General features: G+C 45.2%; 1 protein-coding gene, 1 long non-coding RNA gene, 1 other non-coding gene and 1 pseudogene across 18 annotated transcripts in view; 1 reads left to right on the top strand and 3 right to left on the bottom strand.

Annotated features, from left to right (window-relative positions):
• The window catches only part of LOC124901432 (uncharacterized), a 62877-nt gene that overhangs the window by 37775 nt on the left and 5601 nt on the right, over positions 1–19501 (top strand). The window lies entirely within an intron of this gene.
• MIR12131 (microRNA 12131) lies at positions 10420–10521 on the bottom strand. The gene has a single exon (NR_162145.1). It is a non-coding gene; the product is annotated as a microRNA 12131 (primary transcript).
• MTHFD1L (methylenetetrahydrofolate dehydrogenase (NADP+ dependent) 1 like) overlaps positions 11309–19501 on the bottom strand; it is a 236186-nt gene continuing 227993 nt past the window's right edge. For 14 of the 16 annotated variants that reach the window (NR_146719.2, NR_146720.2, NM_001242767.2 and 11 more), the window contains one exon: positions 11309–11670. The gene's annotated coding sequence lies outside the window, so the exon portion shown is untranslated. Of the gene's footprint in view, positions 11671–13215; positions 13697–16180; positions 17111–19501 lie in introns of those variants that run through there. The other 2 variants (XM_017010702.3, XM_017010703.3) reach the window with 2 other exon arrangements.
• On the bottom strand, positions 13201–13728 carry RPL32P16 (ribosomal protein L32 pseudogene 16; annotated as a pseudogene).

Raw genomic sequence — 19501 nt, 5'->3', positions numbered from 1 at the left:
ATAATACCACCACATTTTAATTTTTATTTATTCATTTATTTTTTTGAGACAGGGTCTTGCTCTGCTGCCCAGGCTGGAGTGCAGTGATGTAATCTCGGCTCACTGCAACCAACTTCCGCCTCCAGGGCTCAAGTGATTCTCATGCCTTAGCCTCCCCAGTAGTTAGGATTACAGGAATGCGTCACCACACTTGGCTAATTTTTGTATTTTTAGTAGACACAGGGTTTTACCCTGTTGGCCAGGCTGGTCTTGAACTCCTGGCCTCAAGTGATCCACCTGTCTTGGCCTCCCAAAGTGCTGGGATTACAGACATGAGCCACTGCGCCTGGCCTCTGCCAGATTTTTAAACAAGATTCTCCTAAAAAAAATGTCTGGATGGCAATATTAGCAATTTTAAAGTTGACTGATTTTTCTGCTTTGATCCCACGCCTCAGTTCTAGGACCAGCATTGGGGCTGTGGTTTCTAGGTGGGGTGTGTGGGGTAGGCTCACTGCATGCCAGTGCCTGGTGTGGGTCCATTGGTCACTGTGAGGCTGAGGGGAGGCTGGCCTCCCAGGACACTTGCCCCATGGTGACATGGAGGTAAGCCCCCGTGTGACAAGGCTGGTGCTCATGTATGAGAGGACACAAGCTCCATGTTAAAGTCCCTGTCTTCTTACACATGTTGGACACAATCTGGAGGTTCCAGGCAGTCTGTCTGGGTTAGTACTGTCATCCCCACTCAGGGGTATGCAGACTCTATGTTTCTTTACTTACTCTTCCCAAATCACCTGCTACAGAAGTGGCTTCTTCACTCTTTGAGCTTTCGAATTCCCACCATACAGCTTGGTTGGCTCTAGTCCAAGAACCCTCAGAGCCTCTCAAAGCTTTCATTCCTCTGCATACAGCTTCATCCCAACCTGGACAGCCCCCACTGGATTCAGGCAGAAGTGCTCAGTGCATTGCGCATGGCTCTGCAGTCAGGCGGACCAGGCTGAGTCCCAGCCGTCACTTGTGGATGGTGGCATCTGGGGCATGTTCCCTTACCTTGTTGAGTCTCTGTTTCCTTAATTACAAAATGGGGAAGGAAAATTTTAAAAAGCAACTACGTACCTACTTTCTAAGGTTGTTGTAGGATTAAATAAAAGAATCTGTGCAAGATGATTGGGATAGTCCCTGGCAAATGTTAATCTTTCAGTCAATGTTCACTGTTAGAATCAGATGTTAAATAACTGGATGCCCATCTTGACTGGCTTACTTCCTGTTGCTACTGTTATCTGATTGCTGTGAGCCTTCATTTAGATGGCTTTTTGAAGAATCTAGTCTCCACTCTCAGTCCTCACCAGGCAGCTGACCTGGGCTTGGAACAGAAGCTGCCAGCCGCCACCAGATGTCTGTACATACGGGGGACACGTGCTCAAATCTCTGCTCCCATTTCAAACTCTGCTAAGAGGCTGGGACGGTGGCTCATGCCTGCAATCCCAGCACTTTGGGAGGCCAAGGTTGGGAGGATCGCTTTAGTTCAGGAGTTTGGGACCACCCTGGGCAACATAGTGAAATCCCATCTCTACAAACAATTTTAAAAATTGTAACTGGGCATGGTAGTGCATGCCTGTAGTCCCAGCTACTCAGGAGGCTCAGTGGGAAGGATCACCTGAGCCCAGGAAGGTCGAAGCTGCAGTGAGCCATGATCGCACCACTGCATTCCAGCTTAGGCAATAGAGACTGTCTCAAAAGAAAAAAAAATTATGCTAAGAGCTGAACTTTTCATGAGTAACTTAGGTACGTTAACTTAGGAATGATCAATATTGCAGCCAGTATTGGACTTTCATTCTCAGGTTGCTTTGCTGACTTCATTAGGGTTTCCATAGAGTTTCTTTTTGTCGGTTACCTTTGAGCAATTGAAAGGGAACACACTGCGGTGGCAAATAAGGACTGGGGGGGCCTGGGAGAACATCATATTCCTTAACCCTTAAAACCTTCTGGGTTCTAAATAGCTGCTTTGAACCCCTATTTTTTTTTAAATAGGGGAACCTCAAACCATTTGCCAATTAGCATATTCTTTTTTTTTTTTTTTTTTTTTTGAGACAGAGTCTCCCTTTGTCCCCCAGGCTGGAGTGCGGTGGTGTGATCTCAGCTCACTGCAACCTCTGCCTCCCAGGTTCAAGAGATTCTATAAATATGTCTCAGCCTCCTGAGTAGCTGGGATTACAGGTGTGTGCCACCATGCCCAGCTAATTTTTATATTTTTAGTAGAGACAGGGTTTCACCATGTTGGCCAGGCTAGTCTCAAACTCCTGACCTCGGGTGATCTGCCCACCTCCAGTTAGCATATTCTTATTCCCAAATTGCCATCCACTACAGGAGAGTTGCTTCTAAGAACATTTTGACCCCCTGCTCATCCGCAGAGAAGCGAAGGGGCCCAGCCCTGGGGTGGGAAGCTGCAGATGTGATGTCACTTCCCTGTGCTCTGATTGTTGGTTCCCAGAAGACTCCCACCATCTCATCTGTAGCGTGCTTTCTTTTTTTCATGTTGACCAGGGTTCCATCTGTCACTTTTGCCTCTCTGAGTTCAGACTTGTCAGAAACCAGAACCCACCACGGATTTATCTTTCCCTATACAAGCTTTGCCCCTCAGCCCTCGCCAAGCCCCTTCCTCTCAGCCAGGTCCCCTCCCTCCCCTCCAAATTGGCTCCCATCTCTCTGGCTGTTTGCAGAATAGTCCCAACTCGCCCATCACTCCGGAGCTATCGCCTCCCGCCTTCCTTGGCTTCTCTCCTCCCTAATTATTTAGCGCTTAAGTGGATTTTTCTGTCCATCTGTAATTTGATGTGGATGTTTCTGTTTCTGTCACTTCTGTTTATGCATATTTATAGCTACTTCAATTATCTGTTCTAATGGGGAGCTAGGTGAATGAATAATTTAAAAAGAATTTACATTTGGCTTTGGAATGCATTTCTGTACTCACATTTGAGTTTGGGGGTGTCCGATATTCCGGGAATTTAAATTTCAAACTAAGTAATGAAGCCACAATCTAAAATGTCTTGGGAGGAGTAGGGAAGCTATTCACCATTTACTTTCCCCTGGTCCCCAAAATCCTTTGGTGTCCAACTCCATGAAGACATGAAGTTGGAAAGTATCACTTCTCATATAGTTGGCTTGTTCTGAACCCCAGAGAGCGCTTGCAGTTCTTTCAGGGAGTCTGTCTCCGCTGTTTGTCTGGTACATGTTGTCTCTATCAAGCGGGGAGGTAATCAGAGGCTGACTTAGAGGAAAATTATCAGGGCTCATGTAATTATCTCTGGAAGAAAAAAATCCTTAATTGTAAGACTTTGCCAAATGAACATTCATTAAATGTGTCTGCTCATAAGCACATATACAAATGCAACCAGTCTGATTTTTTGGAAAACTTGTCTCTTCACAATCCCGATTGTAAGATGCGTAAGCAACACGATGTATGATTGAAAATATTAACTGGCTTTAAACGATCAGGGTCCTTTCACATAAACATCGATGCCCACACAGGGTTGAATAAACAGATGACATTCATGCTGCTGTGCTGGGCGAATGTTTGCAGCCCTGACCGCACCACAAGAAATATTTAAGTTGAGCTGATTTCTTACATAAACACTCTAACCTCAAACTCAGTCTCTGCAATTACACTGCCCTCCTCGGAGGCCCGCCACACCAAAACAGAGGGGCACAGGCACAAACCTGTCTGGAGTCTCCTTTTAATCCTGGGATGAAATATAGTTAATAATGTATCGGAAAGTTTGTATTTTTAAAGCATTTCAGGAGACTAAAATGCAAACCTAGGGCGCTAAGGAGAAGAGAAGCCTAACCACTGCTTGTGATTTTATAAAATGAATCGGCTGAATGCGGTGACTCACGCCTGTAATCCCAGCACTTTGGGAGGAGGAGGCGGGCGGATCACAAGGTCAAGAGATCGAGACCATCCTGGCCAACATGGTGAAAACCCGTCACTACTAAAAATACAAAAATTAGCTGGGCATGCTGGTGGTGCACCTGTAATCCTAGCTACTCTGGAGGCTGAGGCAGGGGAATCGCTTGAACCCGGGAGGCGGAGGTTGCAGTGAGCCAAGATTGCACCACTGCACTCCAGTCTGGTGACAGAGTGAGACTCCATCTCAAAAAAAAAAAAAAAAAAAAAAAAAAGAATCAAAGCGTGGATACAAGGCCTCTGGCAGGCAGGTGAAAAGCCATCCCCCAGGGCTGGCCTCAGGCTGCTTGCAGGAGCTCCTGCCAGCCCAGTCTCACCGCCACCCCCTCCGACCCCCACCCACTGATCCTCTCAGTGGGTTCTGAGACCATTTTAGAAGCACCCCTTCCCAAACTTGTTCATCTTTCTTCATCCACTGAGCCTAGTGTGATGCCTGGCCTGGGAGGCACTCAACTCTTAAAGGATTGTTAGACAAGATCCTGGAATGGGAGCTTCTGAGCTCAGATGACACTTCCCTCCTCTGCTGCCAATTGCACCTTCCTAAGAGGACTGTGGTTGCTGAGCTGGCGTAAGAATTAAAGTTGGGGAGCTTGGGAGCCTAGCAAAGCCTTAGCTGAGAAAGGTAGGGGCGAAATGCCATGAGAAAAAATTTAAACGACTTGTCTCCAAAGGAATACAAGGAATTGAAGGGGCGTTAATGGGGGGGGGGGTTGGGATGCGGTGCATAAATACGCAGTGGGTGGGGCACACTGGGCCGGAAAGTTGACAGCTCTCAACATCTCTTCATCCTTTCCAGGAGGATTTCTCTAGCACCTCCCATGTGTTTAGCATTGTGCTAGGCAAATGGTGATACAAAAGTGGAGTTTAGGTTAACTCCTAAACTTCAGTATGCAGAATGACCTTGTGAATTTGTTAAAACACAGATTCCCAGGATTATCGCCAGAGAGTCCAATTGATTAGATCTAAATGGAGACAGGAAGCTGCATTTTGTAAACAACTCTCTCGGGTGATTCTAATGAAGATGATCCCAGGGCCAGTTTTTTGTTGGTTTGTTTGTTTTTGATTTGTTTTAAGACACAGGGTCTTGCTCTGTTACCCAGGCTGGAGTGCAATGGCACAATCACAGTTCACTGCAGCCTTGAACTCCTGGCCACAAGCGATCCTCCTGCTTCAGCTCCAGAGTAGCTGGGACTACAGGCACGTGCCACCATGTCCAGCTCCTGGGACTTTTTTTTTTTTTTTAAAGTTGCAATTCTAAAACCTATGAGTAAAAGCTACCCTAAATGCCTGGGGACCTGCTATTAATTGCCCAGAGAGGATTTCTATGGGCACCTGCCTCCTGTGGTTTTGCTTAACTTGAATACGCTGGATGTGGCCAGTTACGGGTGCTGCCTCATGAAAACTGTCCATTGTAGTTGAAACAGGGCACCTACAGCCTCGGACACAGGAAAGCACCTAAGTTAGGTGGCCACACTTTGGACCTGGGGAGGTTGCTATCCCAGAGCTTAAGTAGCACAAAAGAATAAGGATTAAAATACCTAGGGTGGCTGGGTGTGGTGGCTCATGCCTGTAATCCCAGCACTTTGGGAGGCAGAGGTGGAGGATTGCTTGGGCTGAGGATTTCGAGACCAGCCTCGGCAGCATGGCAAAACCCTGTCTCTACAAAAAATATAAAAAACTAGCCAGGTGTGATGGTGCCTGCCTGTAGTCCCAGCTACTCAGGGGGCTGAAGTGGGAGGATCACTTGAGTCTGGATGGCGGAGGTTGCAGTGAGTCAAGATTATGCCACTGCACTCCAGCCTGAGTGACAAAGTGAGACCTGGTCCCCCAACACCCCCCAAAAAAGAACAATAAAAAATACCTAAGGTGATGACCTACATTGACAAGGCTGAGATCACAGGAGGGTGGTGCAGTTAAGAATTTCATTCTTTGGCCAGGTGCAGTGGCTCATGCCTGTAATCCCAGCACTCTGGGAGGCCGAGGAAGGCAGATCACCGGAAGTCAGGAGTTCGAGACCAGCCTGACCAACATGGTAAAACCCCGTCTCTACTAAAAATATGAAAATTAGCCGGGTGTGGTGGCACATGCCTGTAATCCCAGCTACTCGGGAGGCTGAGGCAGGAGAATCACTTGAACCTGGGAGGCAGAGGTTGCAGTGACCCAAGATCGCGCCACTGCACTCCAGCCTGGGTGACAGAGACTCCATCTCAAAAAAAAAAAGATAATAATAATAAAAGAAATTCATTCTTTCTTACTCATATTGAAGGCTTAACTATATGGTCCTACTCCAATTCGTGAAGTATTTTCCCCATCCTTTGTGGTTCATGATATGCCTTTTGTCCTAGAAACCAACTGTTTTACCAAGACCTTTAGGAAGGCCCAGCACTTATCAATTGCAGTTCCCTGGACAATCCACTGACTCCATGGTTATGTACATGCATGTTTAGGACATGGTGCTCTCGTAGGCAGCATTCCACCCACAGTTGCCAAGTAGTTGGACTCTAGCCTTTCAGGAATGGACACTGGCTATTCAGCTCTGTCCCATCTACCGTGAGCAATGGCATCTGACCACCAATATGCAAGCTGTGGCCCTGTGTGAGCTACGGGGAGGAACCAGGTCAGGTGAGAACTCCATTGCTGGGCAGCATCTAAAACCATGTGCAGAAGCCTGGCCTTAGATCAGGGTGGGGTGGGAGCTCAGGGGCTGGCTCGGGGGTGGAGTTGCTAACCAAGGCTTAGGCACTCCAGCGTCCAGAGCTTCTTGTGTATCCTCTGAATCAGGCTGGAGAAACTTTGGTGACAGCCGCTGCCTGTGTTACCATTACATACATACCAAGACTCTATTATAGGCACACTAGGCACCCTGGATCAGGGGACCTGTAGGGATAGACTGAGGCGCAGATGTAGAGGTAGCAACATCGGAGACCAGGTAATGCTGCCACAGAACCAGGACCTAGGCTGTTAGCATCTCATCTAGTCCAGGGGATTCTAACCTTTTATGTGCCTTGGATGCCCATGGACAAAGTGGTGAAGCCCATGGACCCCCTTCTTAGAATAATATTTTTTAAATGCTTAAATGAAAACACTTATGATTATAAAACAAACCAATGATAGTAAAATGCTTGTTTTTTTCTTTGAGATGGAGTTTTGCTCTTGTTGCACAGCTGGAGTGCAATGGCATGATCTTGGCTCACTGCCACCTCCGCCTCCCTGGCTCAAGCGATTCTCCTGCCTCAACCTCCCGAGTAGTTGGAACTACAGGTGTGTGCCACCACGCCCGGCTAATTTTTGTATTTTTAGTAAAGATTGGATTTCACCATGTTGGCCAGGCTGGTCTCGAACCCCTAACCTCAAGTGATCCACCCGCCTTGATTACAGGCATGAGCCACCGTGCCCAGCCTGAAATGCAATTATTAAAGTATAGAAAAGGTACCACATTTGGTTATAGCAATGTAGGTGCCTCTTTATTTACATGGATACAAAGACAGTGGGAGATCTAATAACTACTATAATTTTGATGCAGTGAGAAGCATAAATGCTACTGTATTTGTAGAAACTGTCATGTAATATTAAAATATCTACGACAAAGACATAGCTACTGTTTCCCTGGAGGTCTAGTGGCTAGGGAAGAAAAAAAAGCCACACACGGTGGCTCATGCTTGTAATCCCAACACTTTGGGAGGCTGAAGTGGGATGATCACTTGAGCCCAGGAGTTCGAAACCAGCCTGGACAACGTGGCAAGACTTTGTATCTACAAAAAATAAAAAATTAGCTGTGTGTGGTGGTGTGCCTGTGGTCCCAGCTACTGGGGAAGCTGAGGTGGGAGGATTGCTTGAGCCTGGGAGGTGGAGGCTGCAGTGAGCTGTGATTGTGCCACTGCGCTCCAGTCTGGGCAACAGAATGAGACCCCTATCTCAAAACAAACAAAAAAGACACAGCACTGTCGATAGTGCTGTGTTTTGTTGCTGACACTCATAGGGAAGGAAATGCTACATTATAGCCATAAAGATGTTACATTTTTTCCCTCAAATTCAGACCCCTGAATTCTAGTCCATTCTGCTGTTCTGAAGTCGCTGTTAGAGTTTTGGGTCTGTCTCTGGCTGCATTAGAGTTTACGGTGCTACATGAAGATCTGTTGATTGACCAGTGGTTTTGTCATAATGCTTGACTTTTTCAGAGGATATGGATTATAGGTTTGTAACAAATGCTGTAAGAATGCACTTGTTGGCCAGGTGTGGTGGCTCATGCCTGTAATCCCAGCACTTTGGGAGGCTGAGGTGGGTGGATCACGAGATCAGGAGTTCAAGACCAGCCTGGCCAAGATGGTGAAAACCCGTCTCTACTAAAAATATAAAAATTAGCCGGGCATGGTGGCAGGCACCTGTAATCCCAGCTACTCAGGAGGCTGAGGCAGAGAATTGCTTGAACTCGGGAGGTGGAGGTTACAGTGAGCCGAGATCCCACCATTGCACTCCAGCCTGGCGACAGAGCGAGACTCCTCAAAAAAAAAAAAAAAAAAAAAGAATGCACTTGTTACTGAATTTTTATTCCCTTGTGCGAACACATTTATGAAAAAGCAATCTACAAATATGTAGTATGTGGATTTTCTGGGAATATATACGGTAAATTATCATAATTTACACATGCCACAATCTTATTTGTGGGCATGTGTAAATTATGATTAAAAACAGGCTGGGCACATTGTAGTTAAACAAACGAAACCGTGGCTACTCTCAGATGGGAGGGAACTAGGATTCTCTTTAAATATCTATTGTGAAAAATACTCCTTATAGCTTTAAGTGTATTAAACATACACACTCTAGTTAAACAAAATAACCTTGACAATAGAGGAATAAAAAGAATATTAATGAGGCTGGGAGTGGTGGCTCACGCCTGTAATCCCAGCACTTTGGGAGGCCAAGGCAGGTGGATGGCTTGAGGCCAGGAGTTTGAGACCAGCCTGGCCAACATGGCGAAACCTAGTCTCTACTAAAAATGCAAACATTAGCTGGGTGTGGTGGTGCATGCCTATAATCCCAGCTACTTCGGAGGCTGAGGCAGGAGAATCATTTGAACCTGGGAGGTGGAGGTTGCAGTGAGCCGAGATCATACCACTGCATTCCAGCCTGGGCGACAGAGCAAGACTCGGTCTCGGAAAAAAAAAAAAAAAAAGACAAAAAAAAAAAATACGAATGAATGGGTTGGCTCATTGCCTTGCTGATGTTTTCCGAAGTTCCTATGCATCTCTTCTCCAGTTAATTCCTATAGTGTGTTCTTCAGGCAGCTTTCACAGAGGATTCTTCTGGTCTGGGACTTCACCTTGGCAGGTGTCACTACTGCCAGTCCTCAAGCAGAGAGGGGGCATGATCACACATTTCTGTGCCACAGTGGGTAATTGGAGCCACTCACCATCTCTGGCCTATTCGTTTTTTACATTTCAATTAAAGGCAGAAAGAAATCAATATCCACTCTTCTTGGGAAGATTTCTAACTGAAACCCACCATGCCAAAGGTTATGTGATTTTTCTTTTCTCATGCTGTGGCCTCAGAAAAGATGGTTGATAACTGGCTCCTCCCAGTACTCCCCATAATAATACTTCTTTTTCTCTATGAATGCCTCAAGTCATCAGGAGTTGATGAGCCCATTAATTAACGTTTCTTCTTAGTGGAGACTGCATATCACTCAGCTGGAGTCAAATACACTCTACCATCAGTAGGGTAGTGAATGAGCAAAAACAACTCCATCAGAGCCCGAGTTATGACACCCAGAGGACTTCGAATGAGCCTACATGATGGGAAACAGTTTGCGGTTTCCAGCAGCACCTGGATGATAGTCCTTCCAAAGTGAGCAGTGGAAAACTCTCCCACACTGGTGTGCAGGATGTTTACTTACATTTTGAGTTGAGGAGTTGTCTGGTAAAAGTAGGTAAGGAAAGGAGTCCCTAGGCTAAAGCTTTTTGAATGGAGACTCCTAAAATATTTATTTAAAAAATGTTTTCAAAAATAGAAACTTAACCTTTCAATGCAGAGGAAAAGAATAAAAACATGAGTAGCAGAAGACAACTGCTTAAAAATCAATTCACGGCCAGGCACGGTGGCTCACGCCTCTAATCGCAGCACTATGGGAGGCTGAGGCGGGCGGATCGCTTGAGTCCCGGACTTTGAGACCAGCCTGGGTAACATGGTGAAACCCTGTCCCTACCAAAATACAAAAATTAGCTGGGTGGGGTGGTGCGTGCCTATAGTCCCAGCTTCTCAGGAGGCTGAGGTGGGGGCTTCACCTGAGCCTGGGAGGTCAAGGCTGTAGTGGGCCATGATTGTACCACTGCACTCCACCTAGGCAACAGAGTGAGCCCCTATCTTAAAAAAAAAAAAAAAAAAAAAAAAAAAAAGACAGCTTTCTGAGTGGAATATATAGGGTTTTCAATGTATAAATCTATTGGAAGATTATAAGGGTTTACAAATTTACTGTAAAGGGAGAGGGTATGCCCTTTATTTGGGAGTACACCTCTCCAAATAAACAGTAAAACATCAGTTAACTGTATATTTGGAGAGGTGTACTCCCAAATAAAGGGCAGGGATGGGGAAGGACACTTCAGAATTGCCAAGTGAAATTATTCTTGGGACAGACAGCTTTTGAGTGGGAGGCTTTTGAGTTACTAAACAGTGTTTTGGGACAAATTGTGCATAAAGGTGCATTATGGGCTGAGCAATGGCTGAGCAGGGTCACTGGAGGGTGTAGGACAAGAGGATGCAGAAAAGATCCTGCAGGATGTGCCTGGGGGGCATCTAAGATATTTATGGTGACTATTTTCCTTACGCTGCCTAGAGGACAATCACTGCTTGTTTCTTCCTGAATCCTTGGTTTTGTTTTAACTTTTACGTAATTTTATATTATTGTAGGAAAAACTGGAAAACAAAGAAGGGTCAGGAACTCCCAGAGAGGGGAATAGGCCACAGAACATTCTCTACTACTAATTAAGGGTTGGGCAAAAGGAAAAACATTTTCCAAACACCTGACCTTTAAGAGCGACTTTTCCTAGCCCTGTGGGCCTTAGAAAGTTTAATGGCCATCGAGACTCATTCCTTGGTGGAAACTAGCATAAACCCATTTGTTTTAGGTAAGAGCAACTTCACTGGCGCTGGAAAATAGTTTTGGATACACAGTGCACTTCATTCCAAGAGATCTTACTAGAGATCCCCGACAGTCAGAAGATTTCCCGCTTGATCAGATATTTCTCGACGTGTGTTATTGCTTTGCTTGTCACAGTTTTCTAGGAAACTGGTGTCAGGTAACACTCCTAGCTGCCTCCCATGAGGAGTTACCTCTAGAGCGCAGAGTTTTATCTGGCACTGAAAACTTGCTGGTTGGTTTTCTAGATCCATGTTTATTTTCAGTTCAAAGACAAAGTAGAAAACTTGAGAGTGGAAAATGTTACCTTTTAGTTCACACTCCTAATCCCTTAGTCCCCATAAAATAAACATTCTAAAGTGTAAGCAGTAGAAATAATGGAAACTCCACAGAAACAGAAATAAATTAGTTTCTTTCAGTCTTGGTGGAGGTCCTTTTGCCGAACACCATACTCCACTGTGAACAGAATTCATCTTGAACGAAGAAGAAATCTTTGGCCTATTTCACCATGTCTCCAGCATTGCATAACAGACATTTTTCAAATTCAGTTTCTTCTCCAACTGCAGCAAAAAGGCAAAGAGTAGTCTGTTTCAGGAGTCTGAAAAATAGAAAAAAAAACCATGTTTGAGTAGTTTAAGAATAGCTTTCTCCTCTGGTGTTAAACCGTTAACATGTTATAGCTCTAGAGTTTGAGGCCAAAAGAAAATTCAAGAGCAGAGTGATGGTTCGCTAGATAAGGCTGATCTGTGTTTGGAATATTTTACTTAGCAGACGTGGAGAAGCAGAGTCTGCACCACTCTATAAGAGCAGGCACAGCTACGCCATGCAGCATTCTAAACTTCCCAAGAGATTTACTTGGGGATACTGGCAGAATTCCCAGAACTTCCAAGTTTGGGATCTACAGTTTGCAGGATCCTGTGGAATGAGAATATTTAGGATTTAAAAAAATTTTTTTTTAATTTTTTGAGACAGAGTCTCACTTTGTCGCCCAGGCTGGAGTGTAGTGGCGAGATCTCGGCTCACTGCAACCTCCGTCTCCCGGGTTCAAGCAATCCTCCCGCCACAGCCTCCGGAGTAGCTGGGATTACAAGTGTGCACCACCATGCCCGGCTAATTTTTGTATTTTTAGTAAAGACGAGGTTTCACCACGTTGGCCAGGCTGGTCTTGAACTCCTGGGCTCAAGTGATCCGCCTGCCTTGTCCTCCCAAAGTGCTGGGATTACAGGTATGAACCACCACGCCCAGCCTTGTTTAGGATTTTAGATAAGGAATACTGTCACCTTGGATTTTTAGGTTTTATAGAGTAGGCACAGAAAGCAATGTTTGAAAAATGCATTTAGGACAACATGGAAGTTCATGGTCCTGGAACTTAGTATTAAAGCTTTGCTGCTTTCTCCCAAAGGCTATTAAGATTCATTGCCATTCTTGAATCCTGTAATCTCTTAGAAAGAGAAATAAACTACATTAAAAAAAAAAAAAAGAAACAAAACAACACTTAAGTCCCAGAAAATAATGTGTTCACCTCTCTAAAATGTAAATGCAATATGTTGCCTTTAATCTGAACTTACACATGGAAGGACTTATCTTTTAGGCCTAGAAAGTGCAAACTCTGCTGAAATCCTGCGAGTTGGCCTCCCACAGATCACTGAGAGGTCTGGAGCCAGATAAGGTGCTTGGTTAGTTTCTAGACAGAAGATATTGATGAAGAGAGGGAACGAGGAGCTTCAAATACTCCCCTAACATCTGGTTCAAGTCAGGGGAATAAACAGAAAACAGGAGTATTATAAGCACAACAAAGATGAACAAAAATAAAATATTTCAGGCCAGGCGCGGTGGCTCACGGGTGGATCACGAGGTCAGGAGATCAAGACCATCCTGTCTAACACGGTGAAACCCCGTGTCTATTAAAAAAATACAAAAAAATTAGCTGGGCGTGGTGGCAGGTGCCTGTAGTCCCAGCTACTCTGGAGGTTGAGGCAGGAGAATGGCGTGAACCCGGGAGGCGGAGCTTGCAGTGAGCCGAGATCGTGCCACTGCACTTCAGCCTGGGTGACAGAGCGAGACTGCGTCTCAAAAAAAAAAAAAAAAAGAAAAGAAAGAAAATATTTCTTTCTTTTCTTTTTTTTTAAAGGAAGATGCCAGATGGCTGTTTTTACATTTATTTAAACAGAAAATGTGCACACGAGCTGTCTACTCATTTTCTTCGCTGCACAGCCTGGCACTGGGGTTGGTGACTGTGATGGCCAGTTGGGCAGCTCTTTCCACGATGGCTTTGCGGTTCTTGGAGGAAACATTGTGAGCGATCTCGGCACAAGTACGATTGTTGCACATCAGCAGCACTTCCAGCTCCTTGACGTTGTGGACCAGGAACTTCCGGAAGCCACTGGGCAGCATGTGCTTTGTTTTTTTGTTGCTCCCATAACCAGTGTTGGGCATCAAGATCTGGACCCTGAATCTTCTACGAACCCTGTTGTCAATGCCTCTGGGTTTCCACCAGTTACGCTTAATTTTGACATAATGGTCTGACTGGTGCCGGATGAACTTCTTGGTTCTCTTTTTGACGATCTTGGGCTTCACAAGGGGTCTGAGGGCGGCCAAGATGCCGAGGAGGAGATGGCTGCCACCTCCATAGGCAGCGCCGAGGAAGAGAGAAGGGCAAAAAAAAAAAAAGAAAATATTTCAGAGACACGGCCAGCCTCACTGTAGTGGCTCTGGTATCCCTTGACCTGAGGGTCAATGACTCTTGGGACAGGAGGGGTGCTAGGGTAGAGGGTGGGCTCAGTGGACTAGAGATGACCCTTGGCTTGGCAAGGCAAGGCTGGACAAGGCCTTCCATGCTCCAGAGGTGGGTGGTGGAAGACCAGCTGATTAGCCACATTACATTTGTATCCTGTGGTTTTGTCTAAAGGTGCTTAGAGTATGTGGTCCCACTTTTTTTTTTTTTTTTTGAGATGGAGTCTTGCTCTGTTGCCCACACTGGAGTGCAGCGATGCGATATCAGCTCACTGCAACCTTCGCCTCCTGGGTCCAAGCAATTCTCAGGGTTCAGCTTCCCAAGTAGCTGGGATTACAGGTACCCGCCACCATGCCCGACTAATTTTTGTATTTTTAGTAGAGATGGGGTTTCACCATGTTGGCCAGGCTGGTCTTGAACTCCTGACCTCAGGTGATCCGCCTGCCTCGGCCTCCCAAATTGCTGGGATTACAGATGCGAGCTACCGTGCCTGGCCTGTGGTCCCACATTTTAAGAAAAACAGAAGGACTGGCCAAAGTATAGAAAGTCTCATTATAGATGAAAACAATCAGAGATGCAATAGCTAAGGTGAGAATGTAAAAACGAATCTGTTGTTTATTGCTTATGCGTTGGAAGAAGCAATTTCAGAAGTTAACTCAGTGGGAAAATATCTTGGAAGATACCATATACAAAACAGTCTATTCTGGCATGGGAATAAGAAATCAAAATGTGCTCAGAAAAAGTTTGTTTTGGGGGGAATTAAGAATTTCAGAATTGTTACCTAAGCTTTAAAACATTCCATTTTAGTTAGATAGGAGAGATTTAATTATCACTATCTTTTAGATGTTGATGAGGATTATTTAAGTATAAAGCTGGAGCTTCCATCCTACTTGGAAGCAGAAAGGAAGAAGGCACACAGCACTCCTCGGATGGCTCAGGGTGATGCCTTGGCGCCCCTTTTCTCGGAACACAATGGTGATGAGCAATTTTTGAATTGCTTTGTGAAAAGATAAAGTTTCAAGACTAAAACCACAGAGCTCAGGCACCCTCCCAGGGTACTTTGTAACCCTGTGGTTTGTGACTTGGGACTGAACAAATCATGTTCACAGAAGGGCTGGCAGGCAGCAACCCAACTCAAGATTAATTTATGGTTATTAAATATCATTGAAAATTTCTGCCCATTTTTCCCTTGTATTGATACATTATATATATTTTTGAGACCGAGTCTTGCTCTGTCACCCAGGCTAGAGTGCAGTGGCATGATCTCAGCTCACTGCAGCCTCCACCTCCTGGGTTCAAGAGATTTGCCTGCCTCAGCCTCCTGAGTAGCTGAGATTACAGGTGCGTGCCATGACGCCTGGCTAATTTTTCTATTTTTAGTAGGGACAGGGTTTTGCCATGTTTCCCAGGCTGGTCTCGAATTCCTGGGCTCAAGTGATCCACCCACTCGGACTCCCAAACTGCTGAGATTAGAAGCATGAGCCACCACACCTGGCCTAATATTTTATATTCTTATGGGGTATATATGAGTGTTTATTATGTGCCTGGAATGTGTAGTGATCAAGTCAGGGTACCTGGGGTGTCCATTATCTTGAGTATTTATCATTACTACTGTATGTTGGTATCATTTCAAGTACACCCCACTCTCTTCCTGTTACTTTGAAGTATACAAAATATTGTTGCTGAGTATAGTCATCCTAGTTTGCTATCAAACATTAGAGCTTATTTCTTCGTCTAACTGTATGTTTGTACCCATAACCAACCTTTCTTCATAACCTCCTCCCAGCCACCCATCCTTCCCAGCCTCTGGTATCTACCATTTATTCTGTCTATGAGGGTAAGCTTTTTAGCTTCCACATGAGAGTGAGAACATGCAGCATTAGTCTTTCCGTGCCCAGCTTATTTCACATAATAACTTCCACTTCCATCCATGCTGCTGTAAATGACATTATTTCATTCTTTTTTAATGGCTAAGTAGTATTCCACTCTCTATACATACCACATTTTCTTTAACCATTTGTCTGTAGATGCCCTAAAGCCAGTTTAGGAAAGAAACTAATTTCTTTCCTGAACTTATTTCTGTGTATGTAATTCAAGAAAAAGCAATTCTTTTGTAAATAACAAACATTTGTAGCAGGACTGGAGTGAATCTGATTCCGTACTCAACGTAACTTTGCACAGTACAATAAAGAAGTAAGGGAGTCCTTGAATTCTTCAGGAAATTTGCCAGACTTTATTGTGTGTTCATTTGAATGAATCTTGCCAAAGCTCAGAAATATGATAAAGTTTCCAAGTGAGAAAAAAGAATGGGGGGAAAAGTATCAAATCCTTCATTCCAATAATCTTTAAACAAAAGACTCAACAGCCGGATCAATTTCACTGGGACAAAAAATCTATTTTAATTAGTTCTATTTAGTGACATCCAAAAGAATGAGTCATGCCCTTATTCTAACCACAGTGAAGGCACTACAGAGAAGTCTTGGGAAGAGGGAGCAAGGAGAGCTCCAATTCTGATGTTTTTTGGCATATAATGTTCACCTTTGGTTTCACACGGTTTCCTAGGAGGTGAGACAGGCTAGAAAGGTGAGGAAGGGAAGGACAGAAAGTTGTCATCAACCAAGCACAATCTTCTTCCTGAGTGGAACGCGCCTTCAACACTTTCCTGGGGGAATAATGAGTGTGCTGCTCCGCACCTGGGTATGCACACCATCTACGGTGTGATCCCTGAAGGAGCAACGTCAGCAAGCCAGACATTTCCTTTCAGATGCCCACGTTTGTCCAAGCTGTCACCTAAGCTTTAACATTTTTATTTTATGCATTTTGAATAGCCGCAGACCTCTGATTATTAGTAGAAGTGGTCCCTGATGGCTATAGTGAGAGGCACGGGAAACAGACAATACTTGCTGGGTCATTACCGAGGAGCCACTGAGAGGGAATGTTTGCTTTGTATAGTGGTTTTATCTTAGGACACTGGATCTGTTTTTGATTGTTCAAGCAGGGTCAAACGATGGGTTTTGAACCACTGCCCACTAGCCCAGAACTGTATTTAGCAATTCACAAAGAAGAAAGAGGCCTTGGATTGGGGGGTGGGTAAGGGGTAGAAATGCCATTCCATTAGAGAATTAGGAAAGAGCTGGCTCTATTATACTTGGACTAAAAAGAATTATGACAAAATCATAGCTTTTAATACCCAAACAATTATCTTTACTTATTAGAAAAAATTACCTCATTATCCTCAAGTACCTGTCTGTTCAAATAGCTGGTATCATCTTTCGGAATGGGCCAAAGTTCATTTTACCCGTGACTGAAATGAAAAGGGCATCCTTTGGTTTGGGGCATAAAGGTTGGGGTAATACTGAGAGTCAACAGATCTGAGTTGAGTCTTGGCTTTTGTAGTTATTAGCTGCACAACTTGAGCAGGTTGTCGACTTCTCTGGGCAGAGTTCTTGCAGCTCTTCAACAAAAATACTACCCACCTCCCTGGGTTGATGCCAGCATGACATGTGATGGGGGTGGCAAAATGACATGTGCCAGCTATGAAATGAGAGGCAGTGCCACAGGGTGGCAAGGCAGTTCTGTAGCCTTGCAGACCAGGGCCACCCCTCAGTGACCAAGGGGTAGGCTCCGTCCTCTTGAAGCCTTGTGGCCCTTATGGGACAACACTTGGCTCCAGAGGTGCTGTGACCACCCATGCAAAGTGCTTAGCACAATGCCCGATACATTGGAAGTAATTACCATAGGCCTGTGTCCTGCCCTGCAGGCCCCGTATATAAGATCTGGAGGAATTCTTGTTAGGGAGTAGGTAATAAAGGATTTAAGGGTATGCATTAATAATGCTAAGGATGTATCCCTGAGTAGGACCTGAGTCCTAACTACAGTGATTAAGGTATAATTGGACTTATATGACCTACTTGGAGAGCATGTGAAAACTCACCAAAAGCTGGAAAAATACTGTCCAAGAGAGATGGGAGAATCAAACACACTTATTCTGGAGAAAAATGACAAATGGCAGAAATGTAACATAATGGGTTCCTGACATAAAAAGAGAATTGCTAGGCCAACTAGCAATTGGGGAAATAGCAATTATTTCCCCACAGCCTTACTGGGGAATGGAAGACATTGGCAACACACAAGCTCACACCAAAAGATGAAACAACATTTTATCAACACTTGAGTTTATGGGTTTCTTTGTTAAACTAGTCTCCCTTACTTCATTTTCTAGAGTTTTATTTTTTCTGAAATAACAAAGATCAAAGATGCAGTTATGGCTCAAACTTAACACAGCTCCCGCTCCTCAGCAAAAAACACATACAAACACCCCCAAACAACATCCACAACTCAAAACAAACAATTTCACACTTTGTTTTAATGTAATTTCATTTATGGTTCCCTTATCTTTCTCACCATAGCCTAGGTCTTTAGTGTTTTAGCAACAAAGCCTCAACAAAAAAACTTGGCCAGACGAGGTGGCTCACTTGAGGTCAGGAGTTTGAGACCAGCCTGGCCAACACGGTAAAACCCCATCTCTATTAAAATACAAAAATTAGGCTGGGCGTGGTGGCTCCCGCCTGTAATCTCAGCACTTTGGGAGGCTGAGGCGGGTGGATCACCTGAGGTCAGGAGTTCGAGACCAGCCTGGCCAACATGGTGAAACCCTGTCTCTACTAAAAATAAAAAAACTAGCTGGGCATGGTGGTGGACGCCTGTAATCCCAACTGCTTGGGAGGCTGAGGCAGGAGAATTGCTTGAACCCAGGAGACAGAGGTTGTAGTGAGCCCACACAGTGCCGCTGCACTCCAGCCTTGGCAACAGAGTAAGACTCTGTCGCAAATAAATAAATACATAAATAAAATACAAAAATCAGCGGGGCGTGGTGGCACACACCTGTAATCCCAGCTACTTGGGAGGGTGAGGCAAGAGAATTGCTTGAACCCGGGAGGCGGAGGTTGCAGTGAGCAGAGATCACGCCACTGAACTCCAGCCTAGGTGATAGCGCGAGACTCTGTCTCAAACAACAACAACAACAACAAGTCCTCAAGTGGACTCCTGGTAGTGAAACAAATGAAATGAGAATCCTGGGTGCCTGGCTTGGAGCCGTAACTCAGAGATGGTTGAAGAAGAAGGTCTTTAGGCCACAAAAGCTCATCTGCAAAGGCCGAGAATATGCTGGCAAGAGGGAGAGGTTCTGGGCTCAGGAACAGGAGTCAGTGGGGAGAAGGAGGCGGGGTGCTTGCGGGGAAAGAATGTGTCTTTAGAATATGGTGAGGACATGTTTGATCCCTGGGGTAGGAGAAGCAGCCCTGAGCCTTTCAAGCTTCTGATTAGGAGTTGTCTCCCAGGGAAGAGGTTTAGGAATGTGGTCATTTTTCTTCACGATGGGGAGTCAGGATAGAAGCCAGCAGGTATGGCTGCAGTGCTGTGGCGTGGACATGAATAAGACCGAGAGTCCCCAGGTCTGGGCTGCCTAAGACAGCTCAGAGTCAAAGCCCAACCTGAGACTGTGCAAACCCGAAGTCATCAAGTGGCCTACTTTCTGCTGCCCTGCCCTTCCTGGAACCCATGGGGCCCTCTAGTTAAATGGTCTGTCCCATGGCTATGTGTCTGTCCAGGGACAAGAGAGCCGAACACACCTGTTGTGCCACACAGTTGAGTGTTCTGGGTTGAACTGTGTCCCCTAAAAGATATGCTTAAGTCC

Source organism: Homo sapiens, chromosome 6, assembly GCF_000001405.40.
Source record: "Homo sapiens chromosome 6, GRCh38.p14 Primary Assembly".
NCBI classification, from domain to species: domain Eukaryota; kingdom Metazoa; phylum Chordata; class Mammalia; order Primates; family Hominidae; genus Homo; species Homo sapiens.
The sequence above is the reverse complement of the archived record's forward strand: the minus strand, read 5'-3'. Positions and strand labels throughout refer to the sequence as shown.